The following is a 22,407-nucleotide window of genomic DNA, read 5'->3' as shown; positions in this document are numbered from 1 at the left end:
TGAATGAAACTCATAACATCTCACTTACAATTTCTACTTCTCTTCCATGTGAGTGAGAACTTCCGTGCATGTGCAAAGCAGTGTGAATGCTGAATATACCCAGATATTGACCATTTTCATGGTCTTTTGTAGTTATTTTGCTCCATTCTAATATGACGGTACCTTTTCTTTAGAATATTCCCTATACTGAGACTTCCAAAGCATTCACCTCCTTGGTCTTGCACTCCCATTTCATTGGTTCATGTAATATTTAATGCATTTATGTCATCACAATAACAAGCACAACTGGCATAAAAGCTTAACCCCCTTGGGATGGATTCGCCAGCTCCACCATGGAACACAGGTGTGCGTGTGCACTCAGAAGTGATGGGCCAGGTGAGCATTGGGCCTTCAGTGAGCAGTAACCAGGCTACCTGCAGAAAGAATGAATGATACTGGCTAATCTGACAAGTTAGAAAAAGCTTGGTTAGGAGAGCTTCTGCTGAATTCTGAAAATGGAAAACGCTGTGGCCAAGTCTGAAGTTTGGTATGAATCTGATGGGCTCTGGGGACTGTCACTACTGTCCCAATGCCACCTCCTTATTTGGTTGGCTTGAGGCCAGGCCTCCTGCTAGAAGTCATGGGGGTAGGGGTAAAGCCCTCAGGGAAGGACAGGCCATCTCAGGGGGCTCCACAAGCTGAGGCTAGAGTTTCTCTGGCCAGTACCGTCACTACCTCAAGGGGGCTGTAGAGAAAGCTGCTTAGGGGCCAGAACTGCAGCTGAGTCCCCAATCCAGCAAAAAGCAGTCAGTTTCTCTGTCCGGATCCAAAAGGAGCAAAGGAAACCCTTGGTTTCTTGTTCCTGTCCTCAAATTCTGCATAGCTTCCACCACCTCGAGCTTCCCCGAGGGACTCTAGGTGCTCTGAAGTAAAGCAAGGAAAGAGAAAAGCCTGACAACAGCCACCATCATTATTATTCATAGTAATAACAATTATTATTTTCTCCCTTATATTGAGCACTTACTATGAATCATGTCAGGGCTGTGTATTTTATATTCATCAGTTCCTCTAATCTTTGGATTAACCCTGTAAGGTAGATACAATTAACCCCACTTTACAGATGAAGACACTAAGGCCTAGAATTGTTCAGTGATTCTCCCAAAGTGATGAAAAGTGGTGAAGCTGAGATTCAAAGATCCCTTTGATCCCAAAGCCATTGCTTTTAACCCAGAGAATGGTTTCTTGGATTTTAATGTGCAAAGAATCCCTTTGTGGGGAAAAGCCAGATTAAAAATGCCACTTTCTGCGGCCCTACCACCACTGATTCTGATTTACTGGGGCTCGGGTGCGGCCTGGGGATGTGTGTTTCCAACACATGTCTCCCGTGACATGAAAGCTGAGGGCCAGTGGGCACACTGTGCAAAGCAATTGCCCTGCAGTAGTGCCCCTTCCATAAGATTTGCCCAGCTGTGTTCAGGAGCAGCGATGGATTCCAGTCTAGATCCTGAGTCTGCTGGGGACCCTTCCCCGAGGGGACTCCTCCCTACCCCAGTGGAGACTTCCAAGAGGACCCCTGGTCATCCTATCCAGTGAGCCAGTGGTTGTAGCAATGGCTCTCCATCTGGCTGCATACAACAATCACCCGGGAGGCTTTAAAAAGACCCATTCCGGGACCCCTCCCAAGAGGTTCTGATTCAGCATTTCTGGTTCATCTCAGCTGATTCTAAGGTGCAGCTGGGACTGAGAACCACCAAGACAAAGGAGAAAGATTTCAGCCCAGCATAAGGAAGAGCTTTCTACCATTTAAAGCTGTCCAGAACAGGGAAGCCTACCTCGGAAAGTAGTGAGCACACCGATTTAGAAGCATGAAGGTCAAAACTAGAAGGCTATTCCCAGTTATGGGAGATGTGAGGGGCACTGGTGGGCGGAGAGGGGTAGAGGCTGCTATTGGGAGGCAGATGGAGTGCTACAACCTCTGACTTGGGGATTCTATACTGCCATATGTGAGCAAAAGTTAATGCGCTGGGACAAAGAAGTCAAAGGAACATGGGAGGGCAGATCCAGGCCAGACCACCTTCCCATACAAAGGAAGGGCAGCCCATCAGCCCGCCATCATTGATGACATCACCATCACTCATAGCGGCAGCACAGTGAAGTCTATCTTGGACCCTTTAGATCATTAATTGTTATGAAAAGCTGTGATGTTTGTAATCTAGCATCCATTTTACAGACGGGGAGACAAAATCCCAGAGATGTTAAAAAAAATCTCAGCCAAGGTCACAAAAGATTTTAACCCAGTGGTCAAATACTTTCTGCCTTTCTGCTCAACCAGGCTGCTTCTTTTGAGACAACACACACACACACACACACACACACACATGCATGCAGTCAAACACACAATTCCCTGCACAAGAACACACTCACAGAGAGGAATGCCTCTGAGCATCTGCCTCATTTTTCCTCTGCCCTCCTCGTGTCCTCCGGTCTGTTTGTTGCGCTATCTCTGTGTCAAACTACCACAGGCTGCCTAGTTCTAACTCTCCTCCAAGTTTTCCAAAGAAGCCCCACCCACCAGCCTAAGCTTTACAATTTCCAGGGAGATACGCTGGAGATGCCACCAGCTCCAGCCTCAAAGGAGTCTTTCACCCCATTTGATTTGCAGGGGATGTCAAGCAGAAACTTCAAAATGCACAAAGGGCTAGAAGACTCTGGTATTTTCTAAACACAGATGAATCCATGAAGACCACCTAAGGAGGAGGATGAGGTAGGGAGGAGGTGCAGATAAATTGCATGGCCCCAACACAGCCAGGCTGAAAGTGGGCCTTTTTCTCTTCACCCACTTCCAAAAGCACACAGCTCTGAGGGTCACACTAATGTCTATTAACACCGAATAAGCCTTGGAGAGGGAATGGGCAGACAGCATTGGCCCTATTGTACGGAAGGGGAAACAGAGGCCAAAGGGATCCAAAGAATCCACTCAGTGAGCTGGAAGTGGCAGAGGCAGGAATCGAACTCGGGACCCGGGGTAAGAAAGAAACATCATAGAAGCTGCAGCTGAGAATTCAGCAGGGCTCACAATCAATCTGTGGGTATGTATAGCTGGTTCCTTTCTGATCGGGCAGTGCCCACACCTTACTGATTATTAAAAACCTCCACGTACTGAATCTCACTGTGGCCCCAGGCTGGACACAATTGAAAGCTGGCAGAGATTGGACATGGAGAAGCTGGAAGTCTCTGGGCATGCTACAGAGCCCATCTCTGAGAATGTGACTGTACCTTGGCTTAGCTGATGAGGTTGCAGGGACCCAGCCCAACTTCCAAACGGGTGTGTTCACCAGTGGTTCCCACCTTGCATTTTTAGTCCCTGAAACAGGAATACATTGCTCCATTCCTCCGGCCCCTTTCCAGTCCAACTATCCATCTGATCTATACCTCTCCCTCTGATGGATTTACAAGCCCAGACTTGGCCCCAGTTTTTCTGGGCCTTCCCGTGTGCTGCTCAGCACGGATGCCTTAATACGCCAGCTGAGACTTCTTAAATCCACATTGAAACAACTGTTGGGTTTTTATACTGTTGTAAAACTCTTTGTAGGGTATTCATAGAAAATGTTTTATTAATTGCCATATGTTTATTGATTTCTCTTTCATGTCGGTTCTTTTGTTCTTTCTTTGTAGTGGCAAAAGATCTCTCTGCATCATCATTTGCAAGTTATCTAAAATGTCAAAGGTGTTCTTTTGAAGTTTATTACAGATCACATGCCATAAGGCCCGGACGCTGGGTATTTACAGCGAGGGGGGAATTCCCGCACGGACTTTCAAAGCCCACAAAAGAATTGAGATCATATTGGTTTAAAACAAGACACACACACAAAACCCCAATTTATCATTTTTTACAATTTTTCCCATTTTGAGGGGTGGGGGCGGATATTGCAAAGGAAATTTCAAGAAGGAGAAATGAACAAATGTGTTGGCCTATTTATGCTGTGGGACTCCCTCTGTATCTTGCAGTCTCATTATGGTCCCTGTTAGGGAACTGTTTCCCAATCTTCATCCAGCCCTTGCAAACCTACAGCAGGAGGTTCCATCAGCTACCCTGTGGGACCATCATGCTCCCTTTTCTGAGCAGACACTAGCTTTGGCTTCCCCAGAACAACAGGCCCCATGCCACAGCCCCGGTGAAGATCCCAGGGGAACCCCCTGGGAAGAGCGTCTTCCCCCATAGAGCATTGCACTATTCCTCCGGCCCCTTTCCAACATGGAGAGCAGAGGGCCTGGAGGTACCTGGGCTCTGCCCCCTGGGATCCAGAGTAGTAAGAATTGGAGGAGGACCAGTAAAAAGGAGGGAAAAAAATGTTAATAGTGCAATTCCCTAAGATTTAAGTGAGCTATTGATGTATAAGTCAGCAGAGCATTTTCTTTTGAAAACCCAAAAGTCATTTTTTAAAGCTTAACCAGGGAAAACTCGCACTTTGATCTAGAAGGGGTTCAAATGAGATCCACACACACTTATCACGGAGGCATGAGGAAGTATTTTCCACTCTCCCTCGTTTCCCAAGAAAAAGGATGGATCAGGCGGGCTGGATCCCAGCTCATGCTGAAACACCATCATGCTGGTGTCCCTGGGTGGTGCACTGTCTCTGTGGAAGCCTCGATGACCTTATCTGTTAAATGGGCATACTGATCCCTAGATGACGTTGGTCTTCAAGAATCTGAGAGGGTCCACTGAGCTCTGAGAAAAGGATGTGCTGTCTGGAGTTCCTGCCTCCTTGGTCTCCTTGGCTCATTGCCAGTGCCCTCTCCAGGCGTTTGTCTGGGAACTGGGAAAAAGGGTGGAGAGGCGGGTGGAGGGAGAAATTCGGGTTGAGGACTTCATGCTTTGAGTCTAACCTCAACCAGCTGTGCTCCCTACTTTAAGCCTGAGAACAGTCCCTGCAGCTGGAATCTGGCAAGAGGAGACTGAAAGGAGACAGGGCCAGAACCTGCACTGGCTCTGCAGGAGAGGGAGGGATATACCCTAGATGGAGGGGTGGAGGCTGGAATCCCAGGAGAGATGGCTTGGGAGAGACCTGTTTAAGCATCTGTCAATCACTGTGGTCAAGACGCTGGTGGGGACCTAGGCACCCCCCTGCTTCCCGGCAATGCCAGTGTCAGGCTTTTGTGCTCCTGAGCACGTCACATCCTCCGTCAAAGCCTTGGTTTCCTCACTTATGAAAGGGCTGGGATGAGGGTGGGGCAATGGAAGCACAGTCACTTAGAAAATTTAAGGCAGCTCTCACTCGGGTGCTTATGCAAGTGCAGAGGCAGCCACTGAGAGTGAGCGCCTCCTTCAGTTTCTCGCCTTATTTCCAGATGCCCTACCAACAAGATGACCCAACAGAGCTGCTCAGCTCCTAGGAGCTCTCCAGGGGCCTCCAGGTGCAAGCTCTAGATGTGGGTCATTGGGATTGAGCTGGGAGAAGCCAGGAGAGGTGGCAGGGACCAACGTCCCAGGTCTCTGGCCTTCGTTCCTCTTCTCTCCTCCTCTCATGCCGTCATTGCCCTTCAACAAAACTCCTTAGCCTTGGCTCTGAAGAAAAATGTTGATTTGATCAGGTCCTTGAGTTTTGTGAAGATCTGATCAGCTACTGGCTGGGATTGTGTGTGTGTGTGTGTGTGTTTGGGGAGGGGGACTACCAGGCTCTGAAGCCAGATCCTGGACCTCCCAATTTGTAGCTGTGTGGCTTGGGCAAGCTACATAACATCTCTGATCCTCAGTTTCTTCATCCGTGAGAAAGAGATATTATTAACCCTTTCTTTGCAGGTTTGCAGTGAGGTTTAAATACCTGAGTGGAGGTAAAGTGCCTAAGATAGTGCCTGCTACGTGGTGAGGACCCAGCATGGGCCAGCTGTCACTAACACCTGGGTCTCCTTGGTGAGGGCCTCCTCCGGAGCCCTCAGTCCTTCCTTTTCTCTCCTCTCTTCTTGCCACAAGGAGGAGCTACTGCTGTCCCCCTGGGCTTCTCCAAGCCCCTTTGCTTGACCCCTCAGGGTATTGTGAAAGGGGCTGTACCCAACTCTCTCCCTTCCTAGGCCCAGGAAGTGGGTGGGATGACTTTGGGGAGGTTTCTGGGGCTCCCTACAAACCTCAGGGCAGGCAGAGGAGCCTGAGACAGAAAGTGTTCCCAGCCATGAACAAGCTACTCCCACCAGCCACCCCACTGCACAAGCCCCCACTCCTCCTTTCCCAAAGCCAAGAGTTGGCTGGAGACCCAGAAAAAAAACAAAAAACAAAAAAACAAGCTTTGTTTACTCAGCACATCTGCCCCTCACTGGGCCAGGCTGTGTGCTGGCATGGGGGACCCAAAGTGCCTTCAGCCCTATCCCTGTGTCCCAGGAACTGACAGTCTCAGAGGGAAGGAGACTCCGAGCCCCCTCTGGTGATGCCCTGGGGTGAGCCGGGAGCCTCGTGGTAGGTGCAAGAGTCGGCGCAGAGGCAACAGCACTGGGGGCAGCTTCTCCCCAAGTGGGGGCCTTTGAACAAGGTCTTGGGGTGTGGGACCTGCTCATCCCCAGCCCCTGGGCTCAAGTTCCATCCTTCCTACTCTTCACAGTGGAGAAGCCATGTTCAAGGCCCCAGTGTCAAGATTCTCTATCACTCGATTTGTGGACACCCCACACAGCTCAAGTCCCCAAGAAGTACCAAGGCCCAGAGCCTCCCTGCAGGCTCTCTTGGGTCACTGGGAAGCAAGTAGGGGATGATTCTTCACCTTGAGAAGGCCTCAAACAGCTTCCCAACTGTGCGGCCTGTGGCTGGACTCAGCCTCGAGAGCAGTCCACTTGACATGTTTCCAGGTCCCCAAGCAACAAGATGACTGAACAGAGCTGCTCAGCTCCTGGGAGCTCTCCAGGGGCCTCCTGAAGGCAGCATCCAGGTGTGAGCTCTAGATACAGGTCATCGGGTTTGAACTGGGAGTAGCCTGGAGAGGTGGCCCAGGGCCAAGGTCCCAGGTCTCTGGCCTTCATTTCTCCTTGCTCCTTCTCAGACATGATCGTTGCCCTTCAACAAGAGAGTCGAGTCTACTCACAGAGACAAAGCTAAGTTCAAATATCAGCGCCACGCTCTCTAACTGTGTGACCTTGGGCAAGTTGATTTATTAGAAGGGCTTCATGCGTCTCTGTTTTGTTCACTGTTCTATTCCTAGAGCCAAAAACATAGTGGCAGAGGGTGGAATCTAAAAGGCGCTCAATAAATTTTTGTGGACTGACTGAACCTCTTGAAGTCTTAAATGAATCAGTTTCCTTATCTGTAAAATGGGCACAATAATAGTAACCTACCTCAAAGATTTGTTGTGAGTATGAAATAAGATAGTCCGTCAGAAACGCTAAGCCCAGTTCATGGAACTATTAGATAATAGTGTTATTACCATTGGAATCATCACCACCCCTTTAACCTTAGAACCTCCAAAGCACTTTCAGTCCCATCAGCTCTCAGGATTTTCTCAACAACACTACAGGGGCAGCACGTGGGCTGCACTGAGGTCCAGAGAAGTTAAGACCCCTTCCCAAAGCCACACTGCTCCTTAGTGGCAGAGAACCCAGGTCCCTGACCACCCTACCATACATATCTTAGCTCCCATCTAGAGAGGCAGGCCCATCCTAAGTTCAGCATGGCACTGAAGACAGGAGTCATTGAATAGACGTCTTGATTGAATGGGGAACTGGGTTTCATTTTACTTGCTGCTGGTCCATGATATAGGAAGCATTATCATGTAAGGCAGAGTTCAATTTCTTCTGTAAAGGTCCAAAAGGTCAGTATTTTGGGCTTTGTTGGCCACATACAGTCTCAGTCTTAACCACTCAGCTCAGCCATGATAGCACAGAAGCAGCCATAGACAATACATCCATGAATGGACATCACAGATTCCAATAAAACTTTATTTACAAAACAAGCAGCAGGCCATCGTTTGCCAACACCTGATGTGTGACAACAAGTCTAAATCAACAGCTAAACATTGGGTCTGGTATCAACTTACTGTCTCTCTCCCTTTGGGTCTCAGTTTCCCCATTAGTACAATGAAAGGGTTGAACTAGACCAGGGATCTCAAACTGAAATTCCTCCAAGGGCAGGCAGGTGGTATAGATGTGTGAGGTGGTTTGGGCAGGGACTGGGAGAAGCCCACCTCTCCCACTCTGGGCAGCAGCCATGACTTAGCTCCCACTGATTTCGGTCATGTGGGAATTCAGTCCAGGGTGACCAGATCTCCTTAGAATCTGGACAAGCGGAATTGTATTTGAAATGTTCAGGCTTTTAAAATATTTTTTCTGAAATATAACACACATACAGAAAAGTACACACATCTTAATTATCCAGCTTGATGAATTTTCTTAAACCGAACACACTCATGTAACTAACACCCAAATCAACAACAGGAGGTGACCAGCACACCAAAAGCCTTCCTCAACCCCTTTCCAGGAACCAACCCCAAGGGAACCATTTTTCCTGACTTTGTTCCAATTTTTAAAGCTGCACCTAATTCACTCTTTTTTGGCTCTGTGTGGACTAGAGGCAATGGTGGGCCAGTTTGCAACACCTGGCTCCGACCCTCCCAGCACATCGTGACCCGTGCCTTGTTATTGATGTTACTTCCAGGCACTGCAAACACACCAATGCGGAACACACACAGCCTGTGCATGACAGGGTGGGCAGGGCCCTGGGAATGAGAGGGGCGGGCGTTTTTGTTCCCCTAAAGGCGTGTGCAGTGAGGAATCAGAGTGACAATGCGGCCCAAGGGGCGTCCTAAGTGCCTTCCAAGGAGGGCAGCGGGAGGAGGCCAGGCTGGGCAGGCACACTCGGCTGGCTTATTAAAACGACTTTGATCCCCGGCCGCTTTGATATCCTGGGTCTTATAAAGAATTCACTTTCAGGGGTAAATATAGGTAGTTCAGAGAGATTTTATGACATACTGTACAGGCTCCTCTTCCAGAGACTTACTTAATTACTGGGATGGGGAGGGCTGGGGGGACAGCAAAAGTGCTGACGGAGGGGGCTGGGCTTCAGCTTTTGCCGCTGCCCACCAGCGCATGCCAGGCACTGCCCGCACCCTGAACGAGGCTCAGTCCACCAGTCTCTGGCAGAGGAAGGACCATTTGCATGGAACTCCTGCCCAAAAAAGGCCAAAGCTAGGAAAGGTGGGAGGGGCTGCTTCCTGCAGTTTAGTCCTGGACATTGGAAGAGAAGCTGGGTGGGAGATGGGTGGGAGATGGGGCTATGCTGCCTAATGATTAGTGCTTGTAACAGTGTGACCTGGGCTTGAATTAGGCTCTGCTGCTGAGTCCCCGTGGGCAAGAATGTAACTTCTTAGCGCTTTCGTCTTCTCATCTGTAAAGTGAGAACAAAGCAGTGCCTACTTCCCGGGGTGGGAATGAGGAGGTTAAAGGCATCCATTGCCAGGCGAGGATGTAGCACCATGCCTTGCATCCCGAACAGAGTAAGGCCTACCCTTGGATGGACCCCAGGCCCAGTGCCGTTCCCTCCAGGCTGTGGGGGGAGTTGCTGTGCTGCTGACCTCCTGATAGCCCCCTAGCCCCAAGGCTTCCACACCTACCCTGGTCCTGCAATGTAGACTTGAAAACAAGCAGGACCCATGGGAAGAGCTACCCGTGGTGGGGTGGAAGTCACAGATAGGAAGTGCCCATGGCTGGACAGAGGCAAGAGGGGTGAAAGAAAGGGGGTCCTGGGCTGCAACGGAGAATGTACTGGAATAGTGCTTCTCAAACATAATATGCAGGACTTCTTAAAATGTAGATTCTGATTCCACAGATGTAGAGGGGGTGAAATTATGCATTTCTAACAAGCTTCCAGGTGACTCCAATGCAGCTGGTCAGCAGTGTCCTCTTGCGTTGAGGTACTGAAGCCATAGACAACCCCTCGGGCTCTCTCCGAGGCCTTCCCCTAAAAGTGAAGAGCACTTTCCTGTCTGAGTCACTCATGGGGTGCTCAGTCCAAAACAATTCCTAACCTGTCCCCGGATTCCCAGGATTTGACTCATCCAGAGAGATGACCTATGTAAAGCACCTAGAATAGCGCCTGGATTGTAACTAAGTGCTCAAAAATCAACAACTGAAATTGTCATTATATTGGATTGGCCTTCAGGACAGAGATTTGGCTTCCGGGGCATCTACAGAAATTTCTTGATTGTGCACCATCTCTGCATACTTGATCTTCTTAAAAAAAACTCACTGGGATAATAAAGTGTTGGCACAAAAATTCCCAAGAAATTGCAATCATTAGCCCAATTTTATGGATAAGAAAACTGAAGCTCAGAGAGATGGAGAGATACTCGCAAGGTCCCAGAGCTGATAAAACACCTAAGCCAGGATTGGAAGTCAGGCAAAACGGCTGTCAAATCCACGTAAACACGTGGCAAACGCCCCGCAGCATGCATCCTTTGATTTCTCCCATCCATTACACATGTACAGATGCACACACACACATGCACAAGCATGCACACACACACACACACACACACATATTTTGTGCCTGCCACTGAGCTGGGCACATAGAACTCATTGTCCCTTATTACCTTATGGGGTTGTTATATTGTTTTCATGCCCAAATTCTCCCATTAGCTATAAATTCCTAACAGGCAAGAATCAGATCTTACATATCGCAGATTCCCTGAACCTGATACAGGTGATGCCATTTAGTGAGTGCCCCCTAAATGCCTGTGGAATGAGTGAATGATGAAGACAAGAAGATGGACAAATTTAGCAAATATCCTTTGAGAGGGTAAGTGATTTGGTTACTTTTCCCGGTGATCCAGCTAAATAAGTTCCCCCAGTCTTCTTGCTGGATCTATACAATAGCTGCCATGTGATAAACAGAAACATGATAGTTTAAATCTAGAAAATACCTTGTTTTTCTGTGATGGCCTGCTATCTAATCCCCTGTTCTCCCCCAAACTGCAGTCGAAGACGGATTAGATGAAAACAGAATTGCAAAGCAGAAAGGACTCCAGGACAGAGGATAAGTACCATGCATTGTTCATTCCGGGAGACCCTCAGTGCCCTGGCAAAGGCCTTGCACATAGTAGATGCTCATAGATGCTCATTAAATAAATGAACCAGCATTGGCTATTTCAAGCAAGGAAGTGGCACAACTGTCCCCAGGCCCTCGTTGCCCAAATCTCTCTCTCTCTTTCTCTCTTGCATGCACACACACACACACACACACTCACACCACTTGAGCCCCTTTAGCATGGGGAAGGAAACTGCCTGTAGGTTTAAGGGACTCTGGCACCCATCAGTCTGGGGACAGGAGCCCTCTGTGTGTTTCTCTTTCCCTTCTTCTCTTGCTCCTCTCCTTGCCCTGGAGCAGAGGCAGTAACTAATATTGTTTCCTGGCCTAAATAGATAATTGCCCTTCTGGCTGGATAAAAGATGTCTCACAGAGCAGAGTGAAATATCATTAATAAAGGAGACTGATTTACTCAGGAATTCCTCCAGAAGTGAGATTAATAAGCCATCGCCTGGCGTTAGATATAATCTTCAGTTCTCTCCTCACCGCATGACTTATTTTTGCAACAACCGCACTATTCTATCATTAATCATTATGGGAGGCCAACGGTTTATCTAGGCTAATGGGCCTGATACACAAACACAACAACTTTTTCCTCCCATTTGACAAGGAAGAAATTCAAGGGGAAAAAAATTAATCAACTGTGTGTTTCTTTTTAAGGAAATAAGCCACCACCTTACCCAGAAACCAGAGTAAATACACACTTTATGGATAAAATGAATAAATGTGCATATAAATTAATATGACGTGTGGCTATAGATATGTAAATATATATGGAGTAGAACTGTGAATATATAAAAGTATCCGGGGCATGATCATGTGTGTGAAAATGTCTATGGTGTATGATTGTATGTGCATACATGTCATGTTGTTCTGTGTGTGCATAAATGTATATAAGATATGTTTGTGTGTGAGTGTATATAGAATATGGAGTAAGATACCTGGCGAATATAGGGTATGGGATCATGAGCTAAGCTTTACAGGTAAATGTATACATGGTATGAACACCTGTGTGTGAAAATGTGCATGACGTATGATTGTGTGTGTAAATGTATATGCCTATATATGATGTTATGCCTGTAAATATACGATGAGTGATTTGGGCATGTATATCCTGGTGAATGACAGTATGCTTAATAAATGCTTACTATATTAAATTAAAAGACAAATTCTGTTCCATTTGAAAAAACAGAATTAGCAAACTTTTCGTGTGCCCATTTCCGCTGCCTGGATTTGCTTTCTCTTTTTTCCTGTCTTAGGCTAGGTATCCTGAAAGCAGAACGAAGACAGGGATTCCCCTGCAGTGATTTATGGCAGAAGGGGTTAACTTCCCTGGCATTTCAGCACAAGGCAATGTCTGAAGAGAGCAGCAGCTGTGAGCCTTAGTGGACAATATTCACAGCAGCTGGCAGTGGGTGCAGCTGCCCAGCCAAGGGCATCTAGGAGGGCCAACTTAGTGTCTAAGTTACCTACGAGATAAAGTTTGGAGTTGCACTGGGAGAGCTCTTCATAACCATGATCAGAAATTTTTTACTTAATCTTGTGTGCAAGGAAAGATTTGGGGTGGGGGCACTGATGGGCTTCTGGAGCTTCAAGATTAGAAGTGGGTCAAGATCAGAGGTGGGCTTCAGGACAACAGCCCTGGGGATGCTCAGAGGATTGAATGGAGGAGGGAAGGGTGTGATGGTCCAGGACAGAGACCATATGGGCCTTTGACGGAGGCAGGGCTGCAGGTAGTGAAAAGAACAATACATTTTGCTAAACTCCCGGCCCTGCTTCCTCCACCCTTGTCCTTCAGGAGCCTACAGGGCCACAGTGCCCAGTGGGGCCCCAAGCGCGTGGCCTCAGAGCCTGCATCCGGCCTGCCTTCCCCCAGCACGAAGGCAGTTCTGGCTCGCATCAAAGGCAGCATTCAGCCAGCTGGGTTCCTGTCCTATAGCCACAGAAATGCCCAATCCCAGTGAGAAGGTGAGAGGCCAGCTGGGTGCATATTTATAAACCAAACTCCCTGTCTTTGTGGAGGGCAGCAAGGCAGTTCCCGGGTGGGCAGTCAGCCCTAAGCCTCAGCTCTGACAGAGCCAATGCTTGTCTGGGCCGAAGGAGGGCCGCCAACTTGGGCCCCTGTCCCGGGCAGGAACCGGGTAGCAGCGTGCAGCTTGGGTTGCACCCTTGGCCCCCTGTCCCGGGCAGGAACCGGGCAGCAGCGTGCAGCTTGGGTTGCACCCTTGGCCCCCTCCCTGTGCCATGGAGGAGTCAGGCTGGTTACAGTGGCATTCCTGATGTTGTCTCATGAAATCTGAGTGCTGAATCCTGAATTATGGCCACACTCCCACTGCTCCACTTGGTGACTCAAAGGAACGCAAAATGGGGTGATTCTGGTCACCCCTGCCAATCGTAGCTCAGAGAATGTGGTATTTGTAGATGGAATTAGAGGCAGCTTTCATGTTAACAGACTGAAATGAGCAGGGTTTGGTTTTGTAAAATAAACTCCTTTGGTCCCAGCTGCCTGGAGGTGACCCAAGCTGCAGACACCCCAATCTGACTCACACAGGCACCGACGCACACACAACACTCTCACACCCACACCACATACACCATGGCCACATGTGTGTACATCTGAAGAGAGGCAGCTCTGGCCTAGTGGTTAAGAGCTCAGAGCCTGGCTGGGTTCAAATCCCAGCTCCAACACTTAATGAATGAGCTGTGTGAACTTGGGCAAGTTCTTCAGCCTGACCTGTAAAATGGGGCTACCAAGAGCACTTAACTCCTAGTATTTATCTATCACAGTCCCTAAGTGTCACTGGGACTAAGTGAGTTCATGTTTGCATAAATGCTCCAAAGAGTGCCTGGCTTATGTAAGTGGTTATGCCTTAGGTCTGAGCAGGAAGCCGCCTCACCCCCATCTCTAAGGGACCTTGGGGAGACCCCTCACCAGTCCCTGGAACTCTCTCCCTTATAAAAGGGGTCGTCCCCTCACCTTAGCAATCAGTGAGTGTGTGAGAGGAAGAGCCTGCAGGGTCCTGTTATCTGCTTTCAACATCCATCTCTCTCCCTGGCTCAAGGCAAGGGAAGGTCTCATGACTCCCACCCAGCTCAGCTCGACTTGGTACTGAGTTCTCGGTCAAGCCTGGGAAACTTCAACTATTAGAATGCACTCAAAGCCCTCCTTCTGCACAAGTAACTTGGAGCCAATGGAGAGCTCACCGTGTGTGGCATCTTTGCACAGAACTTTCCTTCCATTCCCTTCAACTCTCCCTACATACGTCCTGTTTTACCTCCATTTTAGAGAGGAGGAAACCAAGCTTGAGAAACCAGCCAGCTTTCCCAGGGGTGCTGGGCAGCGGGGATTTCAAAGCCCAGTCATTTAACCGCTCACTGGCGCCACCTGTGGGCTTAGCGAATATTTGGGTAGCACCTGGGAGTGACATTCACTCCAACCATCACCATGCAGTGAACATTTATGCGCTTTCATTTCTGGATGACATCAGAAAGAAAGCCATTGGTGCTAGACTTTCTTAACACTTCCCTAACATTTGCTAATGCTTCTTTTCAACAAAAGGAAAGCCCAGCCTCGAACGTGGAACCTTGAACTGACCAGAGTAGCTAGCTGGAATTTAAAATCTCCTGCTATTTTCATTGTGTTCATTTTTATCACTATCTGCTATTTATGTCAAGTGATATTGATTTTTCCATTTCTGGTAGCAATGAAACGTTTCTTTTTAAAATAAATTTCAGTTAGGAAATGAGTTGGCTTAATGAAAAATAATGTAACGAGTCATGGTCAAAGTAGCCTGTGAATATGAGGCACAAAAGTGAAGGAGGTCCTCCAGGGACCTGCACATGGGAATGGCTGCATTTTGCTTTACTGCTTCTCTGGACCTGGGCAACTTGATCCTTGGGGCCCCTTTGTTGGGAGTGTGAGCACTGGGGCAGCTGATAAGTGAATTCTGCCAAGAGGGGCAGTTGGGGCCCAGACCGGCCCATCGCTATTGCAGGGCAGAGGAGCTCCTTCCTGGCACCCTGCTGATTGAAGCTGCCATCTCAATAACCACCCCAGCCTTCAGCCCTGAGCTGGAATTCTAGAAACTCAACTGGACAGTCTAAAGGATGGGGAGACTGTTCTAAGGAAGCAAGTGGATACAGGATGCTGCCATAACTTCTTGCAGTGAGATTCCAAATGTGAGAAGAAAGAAATAGGGAGACAGAGAGGAAGGCATCCCTACACACACACACACATATATCCACAAAGATGCACATACACACAAATATACACATACACACGAGCACATATAATGTGCAAACACACTCATACACACAAGCACACATAAATATACACACAAACATGCATGTGAAAACACACATACATGAACACACAGTCACACAATTGCTTCGTCCCTTGAAGTACCAATCTGGGTGGCGGCTGGTGCAGTGCAGAGACCAGTTTTTCCCGAGCCCTGTTCACGTCTAGTTCAAGACACTCCTCTCACCTCCCAAAATGGAAGTCATGAGAACGCCACACAGCGCCTGACAAAAAAGGTATTTGCTCCATTCTGGCCTAATTACAGGGGCCATTCTGGGCCTGGCCTGGCTAGCGCTGCCTCTCCCCACCCCTCTGCCCGTCCACTTTCCTGTACGGAGGGGCATCTCTGGCCAAGCTGTTTCCCGGACATGGCGTCCATTAGGGCCTCAATTACCTGGCTGGGCCATGGCCTTTGAAGTGGCCGCCGAGGCCTCTGGGAGGCTATTTTTCTCTCACCTGTCGCCACTTATTTTCCTGGGCTCCTGGCCTGTGGCCCGGCATTTTTAACTAATGGGGATTAAATAATCCAGCTGTAATACAAATGCCCACTCCCGGCCCCTGGGTTTGCGTCGGAGTCATTAAGACCTCAGCCGGAGCCGGCAGGCGCTCCCCGTGGAAGGGTTAAGGAGAGGCCGGGCGGCACATTCTGGATTTTTTTATTGCCTCCTCATTATAGCTATTATCCACAAACACAACCGCTAATGAGAGGGCTGAGGAATTTGGGAGAGGAAAGGTTTCATTTGGGCTAGAGAAGGAAGCCATTGTCTGCCCTGAAATAGCAGCACCATGCCTGGGGATACCTCTCCCCTGAACACCCCCACGTTCCAGGGCGGGAGCGCTGGAACCAGGGACAGGAGAGGGTTGGAAGAAGACCCATAGCCTGGGGTTCTGGATGCCTGAGAAGAAAGGGATGCCCTCATCTCACCTGTGGGTGGCAATGTTTACTGCGCACCCTTAGGTGCCCGGGCCTGTGTTAGTGTGGTGAGGTGCCCGTGGAATCCAACACATAATCTGGGACACTCCTGAGAGTAAAAGGTGACACTATTAATAGTTTCTCCAGGACAGCAGACACCAGCCAAAACTAGCAGGAAACAAGTGAAGCGTTTGCCTCAGATGCAAAATTCCAGGGGCTCCAAGATACTGAGTGATCAAATAATATTTTAATGCATTATTTTTTAAAATAATATTAATGCAAAAAAAAAAACCCACGAAGAACAGAGTATGAGCTTTTTTTTTTTTTTTTTTTGAGACAGAGTCTAGCTCTGTTGCCTAGGCTGAAGTGCAGTGGTGTAATCTCGGCTCACTGCAACCTCTCCGCCTCCCGGGCTCCAGCAATTCTCCTGCTTCACTCTCCTGAGTAGCTGGGACTACAGGCATGTGCCACCACACCCAACTAATTTTTGTATTTTTAGTAGACACGTGGTTTCACCATGTTGGCCAGGCTGGTCTCAAACTCCTGAGCTCAAGAGATCCGCCTGCCTCAGCCTCCCAAAGTGCTGGGGTTACAGGCATGAGCCACCATGCCTAGCCAGAATATGGGCATTTTAAATAAAGGAGGATCAGACAGGGTTGGGATTAGAGTAAGGACAGCAAAGCCAAGTCATGCAAGTTGTGCAAGCTCAGGGACAGATCTTGTCTTTAAAATGTTGATATTCTGTTCATCATGGATTTTTTTTTTTGCATCAATTTTGATTTTTTAAGATATTACATTAAAATAGTACTTATTTTAATTACTGAGCGTTCTAACATGCTCTTAAATTTTCCACCCAAGGCTGCCACCTCACTTGCTTCACCCTAGTCCCAGCCCTGCCAAACCAGGTTTGGAAAATTAAAGTCATGTCTGACCCCAGCTCTTGCCTCTGTCTCCCCAGTCTTCTGTGCCCAGACGGAGAGAACTTTCTCATTTCCCCATTTCTCTCTCACTTCTGAGCTTCCCTACAGGCTGTTCCCTCATCCTCAAAATCTCCCATCCCCTTCCCTGTAATAATGACAAGAATGATCACTTACAACCATGTCCAATGAGTCAAGCCCTATACTAAGTGCATAGCACACCATAGCTTATTAAGTAAACCCAACAACCTGTAAAGTAGGTGCTGGGAGGATCCCCGTTTCACAGATGGGGAAAATGAGAAAGGGTGTCTCACTCATGCAGCTCCTGAGCCATAATCACCGAAGCCAGTGCCCTTAACCCCTGTCTTCTCTTGCCTCCATGCAGCTAGTACCCACTCAACGTGTGGTCACGTTCAAAAGCACGCACTCTGGGTTCAGATCGTGGCTCTGCCTAGCTCTGGCTGGATGTCCTAGTCAGGTTACAAACCTCGTTCTGCCTTGGGTTCCTCCTACGTAAAATGGGGATAATAATAACACCATCGAGTAGAGTTATTGTGTGGATGAAATGGGTTAATATATGTAATGTGCTTACAACTGTGTCTGACACATGGGACTTTCTAGATTTTAGCGCTGAAAGTCCCATATCCCAGGAAACAAATCAGTCCAGGGCAAACGGAGGTGGTTGGCCATGCTAATGGGAGATGTCAATAAATGTGAGTTATTATTACTGTTGTTATTATTACTGCTCACCTGGTGTCACCGTGTCCAGATGTCTTCTCTCGTCACTGCATACACTCTCAGCCCAAAACCTGGGTTGGGCTCCCTTCTTGCTGCTCCCATAGCCCCCTGTATTACTCTGTCATAGCACTTGCTGAATGGGTTCATAAGCCACCTGTTATCTGTCTCTCCCGTTACACTGGGGCCTCTAACAAGGCAGGGACTGCAACTGTTCAGGCCCATGTCCTGGCTTATAGGGCAGTTCCTACCACGCTAGGTGCTCAGAAAATTTCTGTTAAATGGCTGAATGAATGAATGAAAGAGGCAGAGACATCAAAAAGAATGCAGTCTAGTTAGCCAGATAAAATTAAGCATATAATATTAGAAAATAGAAACTGTTAAAATACTAAAAGAAACACAGAAATCTTACAACTTAATTCATTCTTCTGCAGGGGAGGTAATAACACTTGGAGAGGTGAAACAGCCTGCCCCACCCGCACTGTCAAGTGACAAGAGAGGCGGAGTTTGAAGGATAGCCTGGAGGACTTCCTTGCCATGAATGGGATCCAGGCATTGCCCCTGGCATCTCATCATGAATGGGAGATAACCCAAACCTCTCTGTCATTCTGCCCAGTGAGGTCTGGGAGAAAGACAATAGGCTGAAGCTGGGAGTCCCGGGTTTCAGCCTTCTTAGGGAAGTTAATTCTCACCATTGTCCTCAATCTCCTTATCTGTCAAAAGGACATACCATCTGCCCGCCTAGACTTCTGACGCTATCATGAAGCTGAGATGCAACTATAGATGTGGGGACTTTGGGAAAATTAACAATGCCTCTGCAGATGACAAGGGTTGCTATGAAAGAACAAAACTGGCTCTCTGGTTCCCAGGGTCTGGTACTGTACCAAGTACACCAATCTCAGCATGCTAGAGTCAAGGCTGGGAATGGTGAGAACCCCAGGAAACATAATTGCCTAGAAACCTCAACTTGGTAAACAATAAAATCTTATTTTTTAATTGAAAAATAATCTGTGGGAGAAGTTCAACATAAAAAAATAGATGAGGCTGTTTAATAGGCAACCTTATAAATTGTAATTCGTACTTTTTTTTCAGACAGGGTCTTACTCTGTCACCCAAGCTGGAGTGCAATAGCACAATGACAGCTCACTGCAGCCTCAACCTCCTGGGCTTAAGTGATCCTCTCACCTCAGCCTCCCAAGTAGCTGGGACTACAGGTGCACACCACCACACCTGGCTCATTTTAGTACTTTTTTGTAGAGACAGGGTTTCACCATGTTGCCCATGCTGATCTTGAACTCCTGAGCTCAAGCGATCTGCCTGCCTCAGCCTCCCAAACTGCTAAGATTACAGGCATGAGCTATCACCCCCAACCTAAATTCATACATTTAATTATTAAGTTAATCACTACACTGAATGTTAGTTCCACTTTCAGCATAACCAAGTAAGTTCTTACCAGGCCTGACCCTCCTGCAGACAACAGCTATAAACTGCACAAAATACAAAAACACCATTGACCTGAAGGGATCAGAGAGTGAATAAATAAGGCAGATCTTAGAGAGCCAACCCTTAAGAGAAGAGAATGACACAGGGTGAGTTACCCACTTCTATAGCTTTTAGCCAGGCAGCAGGCTGAAATCAACCTCACAAGATATAGCTAAAACTTTGATAGAAAACCCAGAGCCTTTCTGGCCTGAAGAATCAAATAACAATGTTTGAAACAAGCAGAGTTACTGGAAGGCAAAGGAGAACCTTCCTTGGAAAGGAGTGAGCTAAGGAGAGAGCCCCCAAACTCTGCATATTAACTCTGCCTAAATCTTGGCTTGACCCCTAAAATATGCATGCATGGGAATAAATCCAGCTAATGATAAAATAACTAAACTGAGAATTGACTTGCTTCCCAAAAGATAGAGTTTGTGGTTTAAGTCTAACCAAGGTAATTGCTTGCCAAAACAAGCAAATCAAAATCAATAATCTTCAGAGAAATATAACAGAGTCCAGAATCTTCACAACATAGCATTCATAACTTCCCCAGTACAACCCACAATCATTCAACATAAAAGAGAGAACAAGAATTTTGTGACCCATTCTTGAGCAAAAAGATAATCAATGGAGACCAATGCTGACATGACTCAGCTGTTAGAATTAATAACAGAAATGTAAAAGCCACTATTATAACTATGCTCACGGACCAAAAGAAAAATAGCTTCACAGTGAATGAAATCTTAGCAGAGAAATACAACTATTTTTAAAAAATGATAGAAATTCTGGAGCTGAAAAATACAGTGTCTGGAATAAAAATTAATCTATTAGGCTTAGCAGCAGAAGTTTGTCTCTGAACAACAGAAAGAACAAAGATTAAAAAAATAATGTGGATCCTAAGGGAAAGCCTATAGTACATGTAATTGGAGTCCCAGAAGTAAAGGAGAGAGATAATAAAGCAGAAAAAAATGTTTTGAAGAAATGATGGCTGAAGTTTTCCCAAATTTAATGAAAGATATAAATTTACAGATTTAAGAACCTCCGTGAATACCAAGCAGGATAAGTACCAAGAAACCCACACCTGGGCACATCATAGCCAAACTCTTGAAAATTAAAAAATAGAAAGAAAATCATGCACCAAGCTAGAAAAAAAAATAACATTACATACAGGGACATCATTTGAAATTTCACTAACTTCTTGTCAGAGATATAAAGACCAAAAGATTGTGTCTTCAAAGTACTGGAAGATAAAAAATAACTCGGAATTCTATATCCAGTGAAAACATCTTTTAATAATGAAGGTGAAATAGAGACATTTCAGATAAAAGAAAATTAAGAGAATGTGTCCTCATCAGATCTGTACTACAAAAAAATGTGAAAAGGAACTCTTCAGGCCAAAGGCAAATGAAGAGCATAGTAAATGGTAAATATCTGGGTAAATATACAAGGCTATTTTTTTCTCTTAATTTATTTAACATACATAAAGTACTTTAAAGCAAAAAATATGATATTGTAGTGTAGAGTTTATAAATGTAAATATAATATAAGAATAGCATACAGGATGGCTGGATACAGTGGTGGAGGGGCAGTAAATGGATTTATATGATTGCAAAGTTTTTATGTCTCATATCAAGTGGTACATATTAATACTCATTGCATGTGGAGGTGTAAGGATTATCTAAGTTCTTTAAGAATGCCATAACAAAATATCATAAACTGGTGGCTTATAAACAGCAAATATTTATTTCACACAGTTCTAGAGGCTGGGAAATCCAAGATCAAGGCACCACCAGATTCTGGTAACAGCCTGTTTCCTGGTTCATAGATTGTGCCTTCTCCCCATGTCCTCCCAGTGGAAGGAGCTAACTAGCTCTTGGGGGTCTCTTTTTTTTTCTTTAATTAAAATGCTTTTATTCATTTTTATTTTTTAAATTTTTTATTTTTTATTTCAATAGATCTTTGGGAAACGTGATGTTTTGTTACACAAATAAGTTATTTAGTGGTAATTTCTGAGATTTTTGTGCACCCATCACCTGAACAGTGTACACTGTACCCAATGTGTAGTCTTTTATCCCTTGCCATCTCCCACCGTTTTCCCCTGAGTCCCCAAAGTCCCATGTATTATTCTTATGTCTTTGAGTCCTCATAGCTTAGCTTCCACACATGACTGTGAACATATGACGTTTGTTTTTCCATTCCTAAATTACTTCACTTAGAATAATAGTCTCCAATTCCATCCAAATTGCTGCGAATGGCATTATTTCATTCTTTTTAATGGATGAGTAGTATTCCACGGTGTGTGTATATATATATATACACCACATTTTCTTCATCCACTTGTTAATTGATGGGCATTCTGACTGGTTCCATATTTTTGCAATTGCAAATTGTGCTGCTATAAACATGCATATGCAAGTATCTTTTTTGCATAATGATTTATGTTCCTCTGGGTAGATACCCAGTAGTGGGATTGCTGGATCAAATGGTAGACTTACTTTTAGTTCTTTAAAGAATCTCCATCACTTATCAGCCTTTTGGCTAAGACCAAGTGTCAGAATCTCCACGTTGTTTTCTGTAATGGTTGTACTACTTTACATTCCCACCAGCAGTGTAAAAGTGTTCTCTTTTCATCACATCCATGCCAACATCTATTTTTTATTATTATTATTATGGCCACTCTTGCAGGAGTGAGGTGGTATCACATTGTGGTTTGATTTGCATTTTCCTGATAATTAGTAATGTTGTGCATTTTCCCATATGCTTCTTGGACATTTGTATATCTTCTTTTGAGAATTGTCTATTCATGTCCTTAGTCCACTCTTTGATGGGATTTTTTTTTCTTGCTGATTTGTTTGAGTTCTTTATAGATTCTGGATATTAGTCCTTTGTGGGATGTATAGATTGTGAAGATTTTCTCCCACCCTGTGGGTTGTCTGTTAACTCTGCTGATTATTTCTTTTGCTGTGCAGAGCTTTTTACTTTAATTAAGTCTCATCTATTTATCTCCATTTTTGTTGCATTTGCTTTT

The 22,407-nt window shown here is 46.3% G+C and overlaps 1 long non-coding RNA gene across 1 annotated transcript, besides 2 other annotated features; it reads left to right on the top strand.

Moving 5' to 3' along the window:
- Nucleotides 1-339: 339 nt before the first annotated feature.
- On the top strand, nucleotides 340-6,644 carry LOC105371278 (uncharacterized). Its single transcript, XR_933599.1, has 3 exons — nucleotides 340-375; nucleotides 2,642-2,743; nucleotides 6,570-6,644. It is a non-coding gene; the product is annotated as an uncharacterized LOC105371278 (long non-coding RNA).
- Nucleotides 3,125-4,317: an enhancer, noted in NCBI's record as "VISTA enhancer hs27". NCBI's record gives its function as "enhancer in: limb[4/6] | eye[4/6]" and the evidence as "EXISTENCE:transgenic organism evidence [ECO:0001131][PMID:17130149]".
- Nucleotides 9,381-10,580: an enhancer, noted in NCBI's record as "CDK7 strongly-dependent group 2 enhancer chr16:55072974-55074173 (GRCh37/hg19 assembly coordinates)". NCBI's record gives its function as "activates an origin of replication core promoter dependent on BRD2, BRD4, P300/CBP, MED14 and CDK7 cofactors, with strong dependence on CDK7, by STARR-seq in HCT116 cells {active_cell/tissue: HCT116}" and the evidence as "EXISTENCE:reporter gene assay evidence [ECO:0000049][PMID:35650434]".

This window comes from Homo sapiens, chromosome 16 (genome assembly GCF_000001405.40).
Source record: "Homo sapiens chromosome 16, GRCh38.p14 Primary Assembly".
In the NCBI taxonomy this organism is placed as follows: Eukaryota; Metazoa; Chordata; class Mammalia; order Primates; family Hominidae; genus Homo; species Homo sapiens.
This window is presented reverse-complemented; position numbering and strand designations above follow the sequence as displayed.